Genomic DNA, 18,167 nt, shown 5'->3' on the forward strand with positions numbered 1-18,167 from the left:
GAAATCATAGGGGAAAGAACAGTCTAGGCTGAAATAACAGGTTCTTAGCTGTGAACACCTTATGGTCTTTAAAACGGCACTAGAGAAACTTGCAGATGTTGGCAAGGCCAGATATTGCAGAGCTTTCTAGGAAATAAGTGCCTAATTTAATTTATATTAAAAGCAAAAACAGAAAATGGCTCAAGCTGCTGTGTGGAAAATTGATTGCAGTGAACAAGAGTGGAAGTGGAAAAAACAGGATATTGAGCCAATTTAGTAGTTCAGGAGAAATCACGAAAATGGTATTCCTTAGTTTGGAGCAGTACAGCTAGAGAAAAATGAATTATGGAGGTACAAACAACAGAAATACAGTATAAGTGTATGTGTTTTCCCAGAATCATGAATAAATTTTCATGTCAATGCCATTAGTTAGGATAAATGCCACTAGTTAGAAATGCATATTCTTTGCAGTTTGCTACCATATCTACCAGTCTACCAGTCTCAGCTAGGCTGCTTCAGAAATTATATATTTAGGTAACCTATTTGGCTTAGAAGACATTTAAGGAGATGAATATACATATGCATGCATTCATGAAGCTCACATTCATTCAGCATAATTGGAGGGATAATATGTATAAGTATATAGGTTACAGCATTCCTATTACTAAGGCATCCTGGCTCCATCACTCAGAGTTTCTTAACTTCTAAAGAAAAGAAGTTGTAGCAGTTACTATTACTGTTTAACAAAGTACACCATAACTTACTGCATGAAGCAATCACATTAACAGACTCAGTTTTTGTAGACCAAGAATTTAGATATAGCACAGTGGGGAAGGTGGGATGGTTTATCCTGATTATACCATGCCTGGGGCATCAGCAGGGAAGATTAGAAATCTAGAGGTGATTCAGTACCTGAGGGCAGGAGTTTTCTGGGGTCATCTTTACTCAAATGTGCAGTAGTTGATTCTGGTTGTCAATTGAAATATTTGCTGGCCTAATGGCTAGAAAGCCTATGCATTACCTCTCTCATGTGATCTCCGAGTATGGACTATTTTGGGCTCCCTCACAGTACACTGGGTTGGTTGCTGGACCAGGTACCCCAAGAGAATCAAACAAATGTGTTATCTTTTATGATCTAACACTGCAATACTCTTAACATTACTTCTACCAGAGTCGCAAGTCTACCAGGATTATAAAGAAGTAACATAGGTCTGACCTCTTAATGGAAGTTAGGTCAAAGTTGCATCGTAAGAACACATGCATTGGGGAATATTGTTGGAACCATTTCTGGAAAATACAACTTATCATGCATGTAGTTTTAGTAAATAATGGAACTCTGGAAGTATGATAGACTATACCTACCTTTCAAAAAGGTAGAAACATCTTTACTTCATCGAATATATCATTTTAGTTTAAATGTTACTTTAATTTTCATCTTGACAGTTTAAGGAATGCAGGTCATGGTTGAAAACTACATCATTTAAAGACCATTAAGAAATATACATTTTCCAGAATAGTAGAAAAAGCATTTCAGTTTCTTATTAGCTTTTCCTATGATGAATCACAAAATGAATCAGCTTTACACTAGGAAGTCAGCATGGCTCAATAAACCAATCAATGAACTAAGGCTTGAGCATATGGTAAATATACCCTACTCTCCCCAAGATATTTTAAGCCTCATCAAAACAGTCCAAGCCAGATGCACGTCTAATTTTTTTTATTGCTACTGTAAAATCCATACCAGAAATGATTTTTAACCCTATGGAAGTTCTTAAAATATATTCACATCCATATTTGAATGTCTGCTTTCCTAACTTTTCAGCTTATCAATTAGAATATATTGGAACTAGCTCAAGAAAAACTGAGAAAACCTGTAGTACAACTGGCTTTTCATGGTATTTACTGTCAAAGGTTAAGAGAATGATAAAAGTGTTGAATTATGACCCACATGTATATTGATACCAGGACATTCTTCTAACCTACACTCAGTGTAATAGAATATAGAAGAGAAAGATTATAAGAAGCACATTAAACTAGCCATGCCTGTCATTTAATAATACTTTGCTGCAAGCAAGTCACCTCACTAAGTACTTATCTCCATTTACTTCCTTTAATGTTCGCAGTAGGTCTATACAGTATCTTAAATGAACAGTTTTTGTGTGTTTTTTTGTTCTATCCATCAAGACAATAAATTCTGGGATACATAGCCTGAAGCACATATGGAAATTTAGAAGTGGATAAATAACCTTTCCATATATTCACTTTTGCATCTCCAAGATTTGTTTCTGAATAACAGAGAAGAAGGGGAAGACCAAACCTGAAATTCTAAGGACTGATGTTACACATTAGCCTAGTATATTCCTTAAGAAGAAAGAAAAAAAAGAAAGCTTAACAGAAAGACCACTCAGACACTTTCTAATATCTTGTTAATTAGACCTGGGTCACATGATCACCTTTAGACTATATAAAAATGTTTGGTACAACAAATACTTTTTCTTCCTTTGCCTCTACAGTAGAGAAACGCTAGGGATTCTGTATATGTTAGCACCTAGCAGTGTCGGCTGCACACCCTCTATGATCAGGGCTGTTATTCTTATCCACATTTTACAGTTGAGAGGAGTGTGGCTTAGAGAGCTTAAGTAGGTTTCCAAGAGTTATATTGTCAGTTATTAATGGAGCTGGGCTAGAAACTGGGCTTGTGAATTTAGAGTCACATTTTCAATGGGTACACAGTATTGCTTCTTATTACTGTCATGGATCCAAAAGTCATTATTACAAGAAAAGTGTTGAAAAGGGCATTTCATGCAAATGGATACCAAAAGGGAACAGGAGTAGGTATCCTTATTTCAGACAAAACAAACTTTAAGGCAACAGCAGTTAAAAGAGACAAAGAGGGACATTATATAATGGTAAAATGTCTTGGCCAACAGGAAAATATCACAATTCTAAACATATATGCACCTAACACCGGCACTGCCAAATTTATAAAACAATTACTAATAGACCTAAGAAATGAGATAGCAACACAATAATAGAGGGAGCCTTCAGTACTCCATTGGCAGCACAAGACAGGTCATCAAGACAGAAACTCAATGAAGAAACAATGGATTTATAGTATACCTTGGAACAAACGGACTTAACAGATACATACAGAACATTTCATCCAACAACCGCAGGACACATATTCTATTCAATAGCGCATGGAACTTTCTCCACGGTAGGCTATATGATAGGTCACAAAATGAGCCTCAAAAATTTTAAGAAAATTGAAATTATATCAAGTGTCTCTCAGACTACAGTGGAATAAAACTGGAAATCAACTCCAAAAGGAACCTTCAAAATCATGCAAAGACCTGGAAATTAAATAACTTGCTTCTGAATGGCATTGGGTGAAAAATGAAATCGAGATGGAAATTTAAAAGTTTTTTAACTGAATGACAATAATGACACAACATACTAAAACTTCTGAGGCCAGGCACAGTGGCTCACACCTGTAATCCCAGCCCTTTGGAGGCCGAGGCAGGCAGATAACCTGAGGTCGAGAGTTTGAGACCAGCCTGGCCAAAATGGTGAAACCCAGTCTCTACTAAAAATACAAAAAGTCAGCCAGGCATGGTGGCAGACACCTGTAATCCCAGCTACTTGGGAGGCTGAGGCAGGAGAATTGCTTGAACCCGGAAGGTGGAGGTTGCAGTGAGCCAAGATCACACCACTGGACTCCAGCCTGGACACAACAGAGCAAGACTCCATCTCAAGAAAAAAAAAAAAATTCTGGGATAAAGCAAAGATAGTGTTAAGAGTTCTGGGATACAGCAAAGGTAGTGCTAAGAGGAAAGTTCTTAGCTCTACACACCTATATAACAAAGACTGAAAGAGCACAAACTGACATTCTAAGGTCACACCTCAAGGAACTAGAAGAACAAGAACAAACCAAACCCAAACAATGCAGAAGAAAGAAAATAATCAAGATCTGAGCAGAACTAAATGAAATTGAAACAAAAAAATTACAAACGATAAATGAAACAAAAAGCTGGCTCTTTGAAAAGATAAATAAAATTGATAGACCATTAGCAAGATTACCCAAGAAAAGAGAGAAAATGCAAATAAACTCACTAAGAAATGAAACAGGAGGTATTACACTGACACCACTGAAATACAAAAGATCATTCAAGGCTGGTATGAACACCCTTATGCACATAAACTAGAAAACCTAGAAGAGATGGATAAATTCCTGGGGAAATACAACCCTCCTAGCTTAAATCAGGAAGAGTTAGATACCCTAAACAGACCAATAACAAGCAGCAAGATTGAAATGGTAATTAAAAATTACCAATAAAAAAAAGCCCAGGACCAGACGGATTCAGAGCAGAATTCTACCAGACTTTCAAAGAAGAATTGGTACCAATCCTTGTGACACTATTCCACAAGACAAAGAAAGAAGGAACCCTCCCTAATTTATTCTATGAAGCCAGCATCACTTTAATACCAAAACCAGGGAAGGACATAACAAAAAAATAAAATAAAATTACAGACCGATATCCTTGATGAACATAGATGCTAACATCCTTAACAAAATACTAGTTAACCAACCAAATCCAATGACATGTCAAAAAGATAATCCACCACGATCAAGTGGGTTTCATACCAGGGAGGCAGGGAGGGTTTAACACAGACAAATTAATAAATGTGATACACCACATAAAATTTAAAACAAAAATCACATGATCATCTCGACAGATAAAAAAAATTAGAGAAAATCAAGCAATCTTTATGATCAAAACTCTCAGCAAAATCAGCATACAAGGGACATACCTTAATGTAATAAAACCATCTATGAAAAAGCAACAGCCAACATAATACTGAATGGGGAAAAGTTGAAAGCATTCCCTCTGAAAACTGGAGCAAGACAAGGATGCCCACACGCACCACTGCCCTTCAACATAGTATTGGAAGTCCTATTGAAAACCCTAAAGATTCCTCCAGAAAGCTTCTAGAACTGGTAAAAGAATTCAGCAAAATTTCCAGAGATTAATGTACACAAATCAGTAGCTCTCCTATACACCAACAGTGACCAAGTGGAGAATCAAATCAAGAACTCAACCCCTTTTATAATAGCTGCAAAAAAAAAATACTTAGGAATATACCTAACCAAGGAGTCAAAAGACCTCTACAAGAAAAACTACAAACACTGCTGAAAGACATCATAGATGACAGAAACAAATGGAAACACATCCCATGCTCATGGATGGGTAGAACTAATATTGTGAAAATGATCATACTGCCAAAAGCAATCTACAAATTCAATGCAATCCCCATCAAAATACTACTAACAGTCTTCACAGAACAAACAATTCTAAAATTCATATGGAACCAAAAAAGAACCCACATATCTAAAGCAAGACTAAGCAAAGGAGGCATTACACTACCTGATTTCAAACTATACTATAAGGCCATAGTCACCAAAACAGCATGGTACTGGTATAAAATAGGCACATAGACCAATAGAACAGAATAGAGAACCTAGAAATAAGCCCAAATGTTAACAGCCAACTGATCTTCAACAAAGCAAGCAAGAACATAAAGTTCGGAAAGAAAAGGTGTTCCCTTTTCAACAAATGGTACTGGGATAATTGGCTAGCCACGTGTAGGAGAATGAAACTGGATCCTCACCTCTCACCTTACACAAAAATTAACTCAAGATCAATGAAGGACTTAAATCTAAGACCTGAATCTACACAAATTCTAGAAGATAACATTGGAAAAACCCTTCTAGACACTGGCTTAGGCAAGGATTTCATGACCAAGAACACAAAAGCAAATGCAATAAAAACAAAGATAAATAACTGGGAACTAATTACACTAAAGAACTTTTGCATGGTAAAAGGGACAGTCAGCAAAGTAAACAGACAATCCACGGAGTAGGTGAAAATCTTCACAATCTATACATCTAACAAAGGACTAATATCCAGAATTTACAATGAATTCAAACAAATCAGTAAGAAAAAAATGAAACAATTCCAAAAAAGTGGGCTAACGACATGAATATAGACAATTCTCAAAATAAGATAAACAAATGGCCAAAAAAAAAATGAAAAAATATGCAACATCACCAATGATCAGGGAAATGCAAATCAAAACCACAATGCAATACCATTTGACTCCTACAAGAATGGCCATAATAAAAAAAAATCACCAAACCGTAGATGTTGGCATGGATGTGGTGAACAGGGAACACTTCTACACTGCTGGTGGGAATGTAAACTAGTACAGCCACTATAGAAAACAGTGTGGAGATTCCTTGAATAACTAAAAGGAGAACTACCATTTGATCCAGCAATCCCATTACTGGTTATCTACCCAGAGGAAAAGAAGTAATTATTTGAAAAGGATACTTGCACATGCACGTTTATAGCAGCACAATGCACAATTGCAAAATTGTGGAACCAACCCAAATGCCCATCAATCAGCAAGTGGTAAAAAGCCTGTGAGACATATATATATATATATATATATATATATATATATATATATATATATATATATATATATATGATGGACTACTACTCAGCCATAAAGAGGAATGAATTAACAGCATTTGCAGTGACCTGAATAAGACTGGAGACTATTATTCTATGTGAAGTGTCTCAGGAATAGAAAACCAAACATCATATGTTCTCACTGATATGTGGGGGCTAAGCTATGGGGATGCAAAGGCATAAGAATGATACAATGGACTTTGGGGACTTGGGGGTAAGAGCAGGAGGCAGGCGAGGGATAAAAGACTACAAATATGGTGCAGTGTATACTGCTCGGATAATGGGTGCATCAAAATCTCACAACTCACCACTAAAGAACATACCCATGTAACCAAATACCACCTGTACCCAATAACTTATGGAAAAATAAATGAATAAATAAATTTGTAGACCCAGTTTAGTGATTGCCTGTTTGTCCCCCATTCATCTCTTCAATCTTGTGTCTGGACATTTAACATGTGGCCTTGATTTTCCAGTTATATGGATTAAAGTAAACAATGTTGTTTCTCCAATTTTTCAGAACCTTAATTAAATATTCTGTTTTCAGTCTTATACTGGACATGTGTATGCTGCTCACTCTGTACTCCAATGTTAGTGACCACAACAAAATACGTTCATAATAATGCTTTAGGGTTTAGTCTGGGTACGTGGGGCCTGGATTCATAGACAGGCAATCTGGTAGAGTGCTCATAAGAATAGGCTCAGTCTGGCATGCCTGGGTTTAAACCCAGTTGTACCACTGCAATCGCTATCTCTGTGTCCTTGGCAGGCACGCCAACCACTACATCGCTATCTCTGTGTCCTTGGGCAGGTGTAGTCAGCCACTCTGTGGCTCAGATTTCTCCTGTGAAAATAATAATAGTAGCTATTTCTTAGCGATGTTGTAAGGATGAAACTGGTTATTATAAATATAGCTCTTAGGGCACTGCCAATATTTATTCAGCACTGGCTATGATTATGTTTTCTTATTGTCATATTAATTTTTATGTTCTCATTCTTTATTCCCAAAAGCCATTCCCTCACATAAGTCCTCATAGAAAAACGTGTCTAACATGACTCCTATTCCCATTTTAATTTCATGTATTACACTTATTTGTTAAAAGTGGTCAGATTAGATTTAAACTAAGATGTGCTTGTGTGGTAGGTAAAAGTTCAATTGCAGGGCCAGTCGATATTATCAATACACTTTGGTACATGCCCAATTATATTTTTGTAAATAATTTTGTGCACATAGTAAAAATTCAATACATAATATTTTACTCTATAAAAATTAATGATTCTTCTCTCACTTTAGTGTCTGTGTGCCGATGCCTCCGTAGGAAAAATTGAATAAATACGCACCAAAGTGAGAAATGAGTTGTATTAAATTTATACTGAAGTGCGTGGTCATCTTAGTAATTCTAGAACTTTCCATAAACTATTTTATGAAATGCATCAACGTTTCTATTTTAGTGTCAAGACACCAGAAAAAATTAAAAATGATTCTACTGTATTTAGTCCTACGATAGATCACACGACTATTCATCGAAGTGAAAATACTGGTGCCAACAAAAGCCAACCTTTCAAGAAATAATCTGCCTACAGTGTTTGATCCAGTATCTATACACATAAAACCAGCTGCAAGATAAGCAATACAATTTAAAACAGTTGTTACAATTTCAAGTGAAATTGGTTGCTTCCAATAAGACTTCCTTTTATATAGAGGGGAAACTCACAGTGTGGCAATAAATTCATATTCATTTAAATTAGTGCCTAAATATAATGTGGGTGGTCTCCCAAGCACTCCTTGGTGAATTATTGGCTAAGAGGTGTTTAGAAAGTCTGGGAGGGTGGGTAGTGATCATGGGTGATAGATACTGTCAAGAACTGAAGACAATAATGAACTCATATAGTTAGAGTTCTAGGGAGAATTCATTTTTAAAGGAGTTTTTTGGATAAAATACTACAGAATGCCCAATTAGACATTCAAAAATAAGGAATACTGCCTTTGAGACTCTGAAGAAAGAGGATAAAGGAGGATTAAAATTAAAATAATCACTTTTTATACTCATACTCTAGAATATTATCTTGCTTCCTACCATACCATCACTTAAATGACTTACTCCTAATAATCTTTTACATCTCAGATTAGCTTCTGAACAGTTAAGCCTGGATTTTTTTCACCTATTTGGGCCTCAATTTAGTTCCTCTACATAGCTCATATCAGATTGTTCATAATTTTCTGGTTATTATTTGTTTTTTTCATTTGATTCTAAACTATTTAGCCAGTAACTATGGCATTTTTATTGTTATACTCCTAGCAGGAAAGGAACAGCCAGGAAGACCACGACCTTGTGGTGGTCCAGGTTTTTTTTTTTTTTTTCCCCCTCCTACAAATTGTCCAAGAAAGGTATGTAGTGTAGACCAAAATATATATTTTTGGCTAACAGAACTTTTGGCAACACATGTAAATTTAAGAAATCTAGTAAATTAGATTTTGGCTCTTACAACAAACATATGTCTCAAAATTTACTACACCAATGTGCCAAAAATTTTATTTGCCAGTATCCGAAAATACAGAGCCAGAGGGAAAAAGAACAATCTTCTTAGATGCACTGGTCAAGCTTGCCAAGGCATCCTGGCTAAGCCATGGCTATTGGACCCTGTAACATGAGGCTGAGAATTGAGATTTGCTAGGGGTGCCTCTAGCTCCTGTTTTTCATGTAGGAAGAAAGAATATATGTGACCATAAAGTGCACTAACTTTAATCTGTTCTGAATCCTATTAATATCCTGACATACTCTAAGTATTTCCATTTTCCCTTCCAAATCTTCCCTCCACCCTTCTGCCCTCTGCACTGTGTCCCAGAAAAGAGATGTATGGCTTAGATCAATGGCCCCCTTGCCATCTGGCCTCTGCTTAGGTTGTTCCAGTTGGGAGGCCTAGCAGAAGAGAAGAGGGAGGAGAAAGTCATGCCACTGGAATATTTGTTCCACAGGTTCCCTCCAGCAGCGTTGTCACAGCTGCCTATATCCTTAACTGATGAAGGCCACACTTCATGTCAGATGTTCTTTTGCACACAGAGTTTTTTTGTTTGTTTGTTTGTTTGTTTGTTTTTTCCCCCTGAGACTTAACTCTCCCTGGCCCCGGCTACACGGCTAGAGTGTAGTGGTGCAGCGGCACGATCTAGGCTCACTGCAATCTCTGCCTCCTAGGCTCAAGTGATTCTCCTGAGTAAGCCTCCAGAGTAGCTGGGACCACAGGTGTGCACCACCACGCCCTCGGCTAATTTGTGTGCATGTGTGTGTGTATTTTGTAGAAACGAATTTTCACCATGTTGGCCACACAGCGTTTTACAGCTTTTTACAACTACTCCCTCCCCTTGGTCCTTTATCTCCACCTCCTCCTTTTGTAATTTGTTTCAGGATTCTGGAAGAGCCTAGGGGTATATCCTAACTCTAACTCTTTCCCATACTTTTGTTAAGTGTCCTTTCATTAAAACCTCTGCAAATTACATGATTTGAACATCTGATTCTTCTTCTGAGATCATTACTAAAAAACACATAAAAAACATCTTGGGATGAAAACAAATTTTCATACCTTCCTTACTCATCCTTAAAGAGACAAAGTCAGGGAAGATGGGAGAGATTATGTATGTGGTATAAATCATTTGAATTCTTTTATAATATGCCTTAAAACCTGGGGTTTGCCTTGTAAACACAGAACATATAAGCAAAAGCCTTGAGCTTGCTGTGCATAATATGGTATAGGTCAGCCAAGCTCCCTGGCTCATTAGTTTCTTCTTTGTCAAGTGGAGGGCTTAATATTTGTGCCTCATATTCCACAGACTTTGATAGTGGCCAGCTGATATCACTAATATGAAAACGTGTGTACAGTAAAACAATATGCTAATATTAGTTATTAATGTTAATACAAACAGAGATCTTCAAAGTTTCAAATCTTTTTTATTATGATAGTAATTTTAAAAAATGATAGACTAGGTAATAATTGAGATTTTAGCCAAAGTATTTGAATGCAAAAAGTAAAGAGAATTAAATACTAAAAATCAAATTATCAGTATGAATGTAAGAAAATTTTAGTAGTGACTTGAATCAATATTCAGATATTTTATTTAAGGTAAACATAGAGTATGCATGTCTAAACTTCCCTACTCTATGGTGTTAACTTGAAGGAGCTCTCCTATTTTATTCAGAGTATACAATTGTTTAACAAACTACTCTTTATGACTATTTTAAATATAAATTTTAATCATTGAAATGCACATACTGAAATGCAAAAGGAAAGACTATGAGTAATGTACAAAGTGAATTAAATATTCTGATGAAATTACTAAATTATTCATAAAGGGCTGCTTGGGTTTTAGTGCTGCAAAAATATATTGTTAAAAGCAAGATTTCATATTGACACAAACAATCTTAATGGGAAAACATACCTTATGCTGCCTCAAGAGGGAAAACACTAAAATTACTTTAATATTTGTATTTCTCACTTTTCTTTTACTTAAAGCATCTTGTGTCAATTTTAGTGGTGACAACAACTTTCTCTCTAGATTAACCTACTTTATCTACTTCAAATAATATTGAAATAATTATGAAGAAGCATGTATTTTCATTAATGAAACAGATTTATAATAATTTTTTACAGATCTTAAAAAAGAGGGCATAGTTTTAATTAATGTCGCTTTGAGAGAAGCTAAGAGGATGAAGTACAGTGGAGAGCAATTAATTGCATTACTTCACACCTTCAACGCAGATCTTTTCCTTTTAAAGTTAAAAATTAAAAGAATTAAAAAAGCACTTTAAATATCTGGTGCTTTCTAATTAGTAGTAAAATTTTTCTAAAACAATAGTTGGCAAACTTTTTTCTGTAAAGTGACAATGAGTAAATATTTAGGCTTTATGGGCCATTTAATTTCTTTTGAAACTACTCAGCTCTGTTGCAATAGCGAAAAAGCAGCCATAGACAATAGCGAATGAACAAGGTGATTGTATCCTATTAGTCACTGCTATGGCCATAGTTTGCCAATATCTTTCTTAAAAAGTGAGTTCTCTATATTTTGAGTGAATATCAGGAGTAATTTTTACAAACATACCTAGTACATGTTTAAAATGTTCCAGCTGAAATGAAATCCACTTTAGAAATAAAGGATGAAAAGAGCATGCTATTATGCTGTTACTAAATAATATAGTGTTTTCATGCTTTAGGCAAATGGAGTGGGCTGTTTTTCAGGTCTTTGCTTCTCTTTTGTGAAGGAAAGATGTTCTAGTGTTGGAATAAGTGCAGTCACTCTACCATCAGAGTCCTTCCATGTAAATGAAAGAGAAGGTCTTTACAGATACAGGTACCTAAATTTAATTTTAGGTTACAGGTATATGAACTTGGAGAATGTGTCTACTATACTGAGCTTTGGTCTTTTCACCTGTTAAATAGTGTTCTCTGCTTTGAAAACTGTTATTAATATATAATGCATTTGTAGTTCTAGACACATAGCAGGTACTCCAGAAACAGCAGTCATCCCCTGCCTTCTTCAGCTTTATGAAAATAGCATATCTGTTATTTGGACCTGAGAGAAGAATCACAAAGTTTTAAAAAATATTGTACTGTGGCAACAGGGAAGGGAGAACTAGGAGAATGAAGCAGATAATACCTTATCTCTTGATATTCTGACTTTTAATTTTCCTTCAGTAACTGTTCCTTCAAGTGGAATAGAGTTTTTCATAACATGGGATAGTTGGAATGGTCTAGATATTCATCCTGACCAATATATATTGCTCTCACTGGCACACCTACTGAAGAATACCTGGCCGTTCAAACAGGGTAAAATCACAAATAGTTAGAATAATCCAGACATTCATAGAGCAGTGAAAATCATGCATAAGCTTCAATTATCTTTACCTAAGCTTTTCAAGTTAAACTCCTTTTCAAAAGTCTCAGTCAAGAAGAAACTTTTTAAGGCTCTTAATTGAAAAACTAATGTGAAATTACAAGGATCAGAAGTGAACTTCAATACTGAAGCTATGATCACATACTCTGAAACAGTGAAGGGATATAGCTGTATGAAAACTATCAAGAAAGACACAATTTAAGAGAATGTGACTCTTTATTTATAACAAGTTACTGGTATTTTTTTTGTTCTAAGGATCATGAGAGTAAAGAACACTGAAAAATTGAGACACCTTTGCCACAAAATTACAAATGTTCCTCAAAACAATGAGGCAGTAGCAGAATAACAGAAGCCATTATAATCACAAGCCATAAAACTTTATTATACAAAGTGACTACAAACACTTAATAGATGCAAATAATTGTTATTACAGTGAAGGATTGAAAACCAAACTATTTCCATTTAGGTAAATCATGTCTCAAAAGTCTTCTAATTAGCCCTTTTTGCTTAGCTGCATTTCAGTTATCACAGCCTTTACTATTCACACACTCAAAGGGTCCAGGTATGTTTCATTGTCCAACAATAACAATTCTTTTATTTATTCTGACATAAATATTTCAGAAATTGTTTGAGGAACAGAAATCAACTTTCTGGATTTGTCTACACACAGTAGACTATTTCTACCTGCAATTCTCTTATTCTCTTTGTCCAAATATATATATAATTTTATACATATATATATGTATGTATGTCTCAGTTAGAAAACTGGAAATGGTTATTTGAATAGAAAACTCTTTTAGTGAGGAACATTTTTCAAAAAATAAGAATCTAGACAGATCACTTTAGGATTTACATTTCAGATTATTTTTTTCTTCATCTTTTATGTGTGAAAAAGATAAATCAACAGGAAAAATAAGCCTTTGTATTACATTCAGAATTTCCTTATGGTGTCTTTGTACCCATCTACATGCAAGCAAGTATCTACTACAGGATCCCTTCCACCCAACACACCATGTCTCTCAGTTATGTTGTCTGTTAGTCAAAGCTTAATGTCTGCCACTTTTCTTTCTATTTGGGCCTATCATCCCCCATCTCCGCTGAAGACTTGTGTCACAAGAGTACGGATTTCATCCTCATATTAGCCACTATAAGCTTATACGCCTAACTGGCTTGTTATATTCCAAACCATCACACACAAATAAGATGAAACTTCTGCAGAAATTTTAATAATGTATCTTTTGTACTCAAGTATCTCTGTGAACTTTTTATGACTTCGTAATTTCCCCTAGCCTCCTGAAGTCCACATTCGTACTTCTCAGTTTATTGTTCTAACCTAACCTTTCATTGTCTCTATATGAATCTTAACTTCCAATTAATATGGAATTTTCATTTGTGCCCAGGCTTCTGTTTCTTTTTTCAAGCTGTTTACCCAGTTGGAAATTGTGATCTCTCTCCCTCTTACCTGTTGAATCCCCAGCTCGCATCTCTAAACACATATCCTCCACAAAACCTTCCCAAAGTTATCCTCCCTTCCTTAAATTGTATAACTAATCCTCTCATCTTTCTGACTACATTATATGTTCCTTGAAAGTCATCTTTATATTCCCTTTTGTATTTAGAACAGTACTTTGTACACAGAAAGTGCTGCATATATATTTGAATGAGGTTACCTCACTTCCGAAATGCAAACACAAAAAGTCAGAGCTGACCTTACATTAACTAGAGCAATGTGGTCAATAGTATTTGAAAACTCCATTTGGAAAGTCCTTGATAAAGTTTGGTAATGGTTTTTGTAACTGTATAGAAGCCTGGCAAGACCTTCCTAGCAGTAAAAAGCAATAAAGAATGACCAACAAAAATGGAAATACCAAGTATGTCTTGCCATCATACGGTACAGCACTGAGAAGCTGAATAAATTTGATGATGTGAAGAAAACTTGGTAGGTCAGAAATAAATGTTTCTAGTGAGACAAGCAGTAAAGGCTTAAGAGTCTACTGGGTACCTTCAATGCCAGTTCTAAAACCAATGAAATAATTTCAAATGTAGTATTTTTTTACAGGAAATTTTGTAAGAGTAAAAATAGGTACTGGTATAGAACTTTGAAAATATTATGCATGTATTTATTCATTCGTTATACATTTACTTAAATACTGGTTATTTATTTCAATCTACTAAAATCATCTTATTTAAAGCTCCTCTCTTGTAAAATCAAAGTGTTTTGTGTATTTTTCACAAATTTTGACCTGGAATATAATTTCACATTTATAACTATGGGGCCCTTGGTGTGAGAGAACTGTAGCCTATTCTTTTTTATGCTGAATTGGCATGAATGCAGATTTCAATTTTATTCTTGTTCTTGAGACAAAAACATTGTCTATTTTATGATGATATACTAATGCCAGAATATGGAAACACAAGTGAAAAAATCCTTATGATTGCCTTCATATTTATACACATTTACTGTGCTTAATTTAAAGTTGATCAATTTTAAAAACTTATTAAAGAAATCTGTCTTTAACTTAAAATAAAATGCCTCCAATTAGTTATCTAATTCCCACTTACATCAAGACTTCAGACTTACTGGGAAATTTTTCCCTGTCCCTGCTAAATTCTCAAGTATTCTATGTATTTTTTACTTTTTTTTAGAACTTACTTGGGTTTACAAAAATTAATTTAAGTGAGCCTAATTTTGTCCATGGAATTCGAAGATAAATAAAATATTACCCTGTCATTGTAAATCCAAAATCACATTTTCCCCTCTCAGAATTTCTAGATCCTTGTCACATATTTAGAGGATAGGTCTATATAAACAAACATTTTTACAAATGATCTTATTCCTTGTGCTCCAGGTATCCTTCCCAATTCTTTATATCTAATTTTGGGGTCTATGTTAGCATTAAAAACATTGAAAGCATCCAGGAAAATCAAGTTCCAATAAATTCAATAAATTATTATATAACTCCCCAGAGAAAGAGGAAGATTTTTTAAAAAAATTATTTCTCAAGGTGGTGAAACTTATACTTGGAATAGAGGAACAGGAAATGAACTGAATCAGCTTTGAAAAAAAGCTGTATTTGATTTCTTGAGAAAGAAGTCTAAATGTAGTTTTACCTTTTTATTCTTATTTTTAGAAATAATAAGATTTGTACGCCATTCTTTCTGATCACACATTTAAATAAAACTGATCAAAATACCACTTGCTTTGAAAACAAAGTGCTTGCTTGATGGTATATACAAGGAAAGGCATCTTTCATATATTTACAAATTTTATTTCCACTTGTAAATATTGTCAACATTTAAAACCAAGTTAATGAAACACCAGTGAGAAAATCAAAGCTATTTTTTTTCTTTTACATAGAACGTGGTTCAGAAGGAAAAGCTATTTATATCAAGCACTTTTAAGTATTTTAAAATACAGTCATGCTCAGATACACTTGAAAGAGTCCCAAAATCAAAACTGTCTCATGATAGTAAGCTATAGCTTCAAACATGAAAATAGCCATACAATATTTTAGTAAAGTATTTTATTCTTTATTACTACTTTATTTTTTATTTATCCTTAAATGAATGCTCACTTTCAAAACATCCATCAGTACTCAATGTTATTAAAATGAATGTATGAATAATCTGTAAATGAATATATAGATGGCCAAAGTTTAGTTTGGCTGTTCATTCAAGAAAAGCAGTGTCGGTGGATATTGGGCATTACCATTTGATTCATGCTTATTTTTTTCCAGAAGTTTATGAGCAAGTGAAAAAAAAAATAGAGTTAGCTGGGAACACACAGTAAATTATAAATAAATTAATTAAAAATTTAAAAAACTAGATATTTCCAATACACGTGTATAATCATGCCAGACATTCACTAACCACGCAGCGGAATTATAACATTAAAAACTAGAGTAACAATTGCAGAGGTGACAGGTTTCCTCTCAAACCTTAAGTAAGATAGGCTGTGATCATAAAACTCTTCATCATGGTCATTGGTCTTGGCAACAGAAACAATCTTTAAAGGTTATTTCCAAGCTAAACCTGGTGGTTCTCCAGAAATTTATGTGATGAATCTTATAAACAATTGGTATGTCAAGCTACTTACAGGATTATAATGATTGAAGCCTAAATTTATTCTTAACAAAAGAGACATTTTTAAAACTATTAACTGATAGATTTTACATCCAGTGAGATGCTAAGAATTTAGAGAGCACTCACATTCATGTTCATTAAAGATGCCTCTAACAAAACTCCCTCTTTAACATGATTTTGAGGCTGCCCCCAGTTTCTAGAAAAAAAAAAGAATATTATAATAATGTATAATGTAGTTGCAAAACTGACAGGGTCCAAAACTTTGGAGCTGGAAGAGGCAATATGTAACGCAGGCCTAAAACTGTTTTCTGCATATTACTAGTCTAAAAACAATGCTAATAGCACATATTTAAGATTTTGTCCTCAATATGACCGGCAACTCAGTTTGCCAGGTAATAATTTTTTAACCACGTGAGTAAATACAAGCAATGTTCCTCAATATTTTTATTTTAGGGACTGCAACACTTTCATAAAACATAAAGAAAAAAATAATCATTTCTCTCTGCATTTAATTTGCATTAATGTGCATTTGCAGATTTTAATATTTCAGTGTTAACCTCATCATACATTATAAATGCTATGAAGCAGAGAATAAAATGGTTAGATTTTACCTGATTTTTTCATCTTGCATTCTTAAAAAATGACTGGTGGCTTCATTCCAAGTTTGCAAATCACCAAAGTAAATGCAACTGGCGTTCTGTTTAATATTGTGTCAGAAAATGGACTGGATTAAAAGACAGGTAAAAATTGACCTTTTCATAAGTCTTCAGTAACTGATAGTTTAAAAATAAATCAATTTCTTCTTGGGAATACAATATCTTGGAAGAAAATCCAAGAAAACTATGGCTTTATGTTATCAACTAACTGTATTTCAAGCAGGGTAATCAAATGAAAAGCAAGAAAAAACAAATTAACAGTCTTTTTTCTGGCACAAAAGTTGCTACATAAATATTAGTAATTAGTCTTACATTACAAAACAATTATAGATTATATTTAAACAAAATATGTATTAAAATTATTCCATCTTTAAAACATGAATCATAGAACTTAAAAATTCAAAATTATAATAACATATAAGTAAATTAAAGAAAATTTAAGTAAAAATATGTGAGTATTTTAACCTACTGGATTTTGCAACTAATCAGTTTCACGTAAATTAGCCTGAAAGCTGCTACTTTATTTACTTCTGAAGGCCTTAAAATAGTTACAATACTATTCACATTTTAACCATTGGTCTCTCTGCATTTTAAATTTAAACTTCAAGTTACTGAAGCACAAAAGATTCTACTGAATTTAGTCAGACTTCTTTTGATTTTTGCTTATGAAGTAGATTTTATAAGTAAAGATAGCCAACCCAATAAACCAAGTTGAACAGGGCAAAAGCGGTTGGGAAAAATATTCTAGAATAAGAGTCAATTTTGGCAATGCGTATGTGTATCCTTCCTTCCCTCCAAGATCCTGTTCTGCAGTCTTCAAAGCAACAGAAGAAGCTGGCACAATCTTTGCCCTCCAAACACTGATACCCATAATCATCTTCTTGCGGCACAGAAATATTATTCATTGGAATCAGAGTGGATCCAGGATGGAGACCAGGAGTCATCTGAGCACAATAATAAATGAATTTTTGACATCAAAAAAGTAGCATAAGGAAAGATCAATTTGCTCCTTTAACGCAAACTCTAGGA

The 18,167-nt window shown here is 34.4% G+C and overlaps 1 protein-coding gene across 2 annotated transcripts in view; it reads right to left on the bottom strand.

Annotated features, from left to right (window-relative positions):
- The window catches only part of GABRG1 (gamma-aminobutyric acid type A receptor subunit gamma1), an 88,286-nt gene continuing 82,715 nt past the window's right edge, over nucleotides 12,597–18,167 (bottom strand). For both annotated transcript variants that reach the window (NM_173536.4, XM_017007990.2), the window contains one exon: nucleotides 12,597–18,082. In NM_173536.4, the coding sequence (NP_775807.2) occupies nucleotides 17,816–18,082 (267 nt within the window). In that variant the 3' untranslated portion in view covers nucleotides 12,597–17,815. The remainder of the gene's footprint in view (nucleotides 18,083–18,167) is intronic.

Source organism: Homo sapiens, chromosome 4 (assembly GCF_000001405.40).
Source record: "Homo sapiens chromosome 4, GRCh38.p14 Primary Assembly".
Classification (NCBI taxonomy): domain Eukaryota; kingdom Metazoa; phylum Chordata; class Mammalia; order Primates; family Hominidae; genus Homo; species Homo sapiens.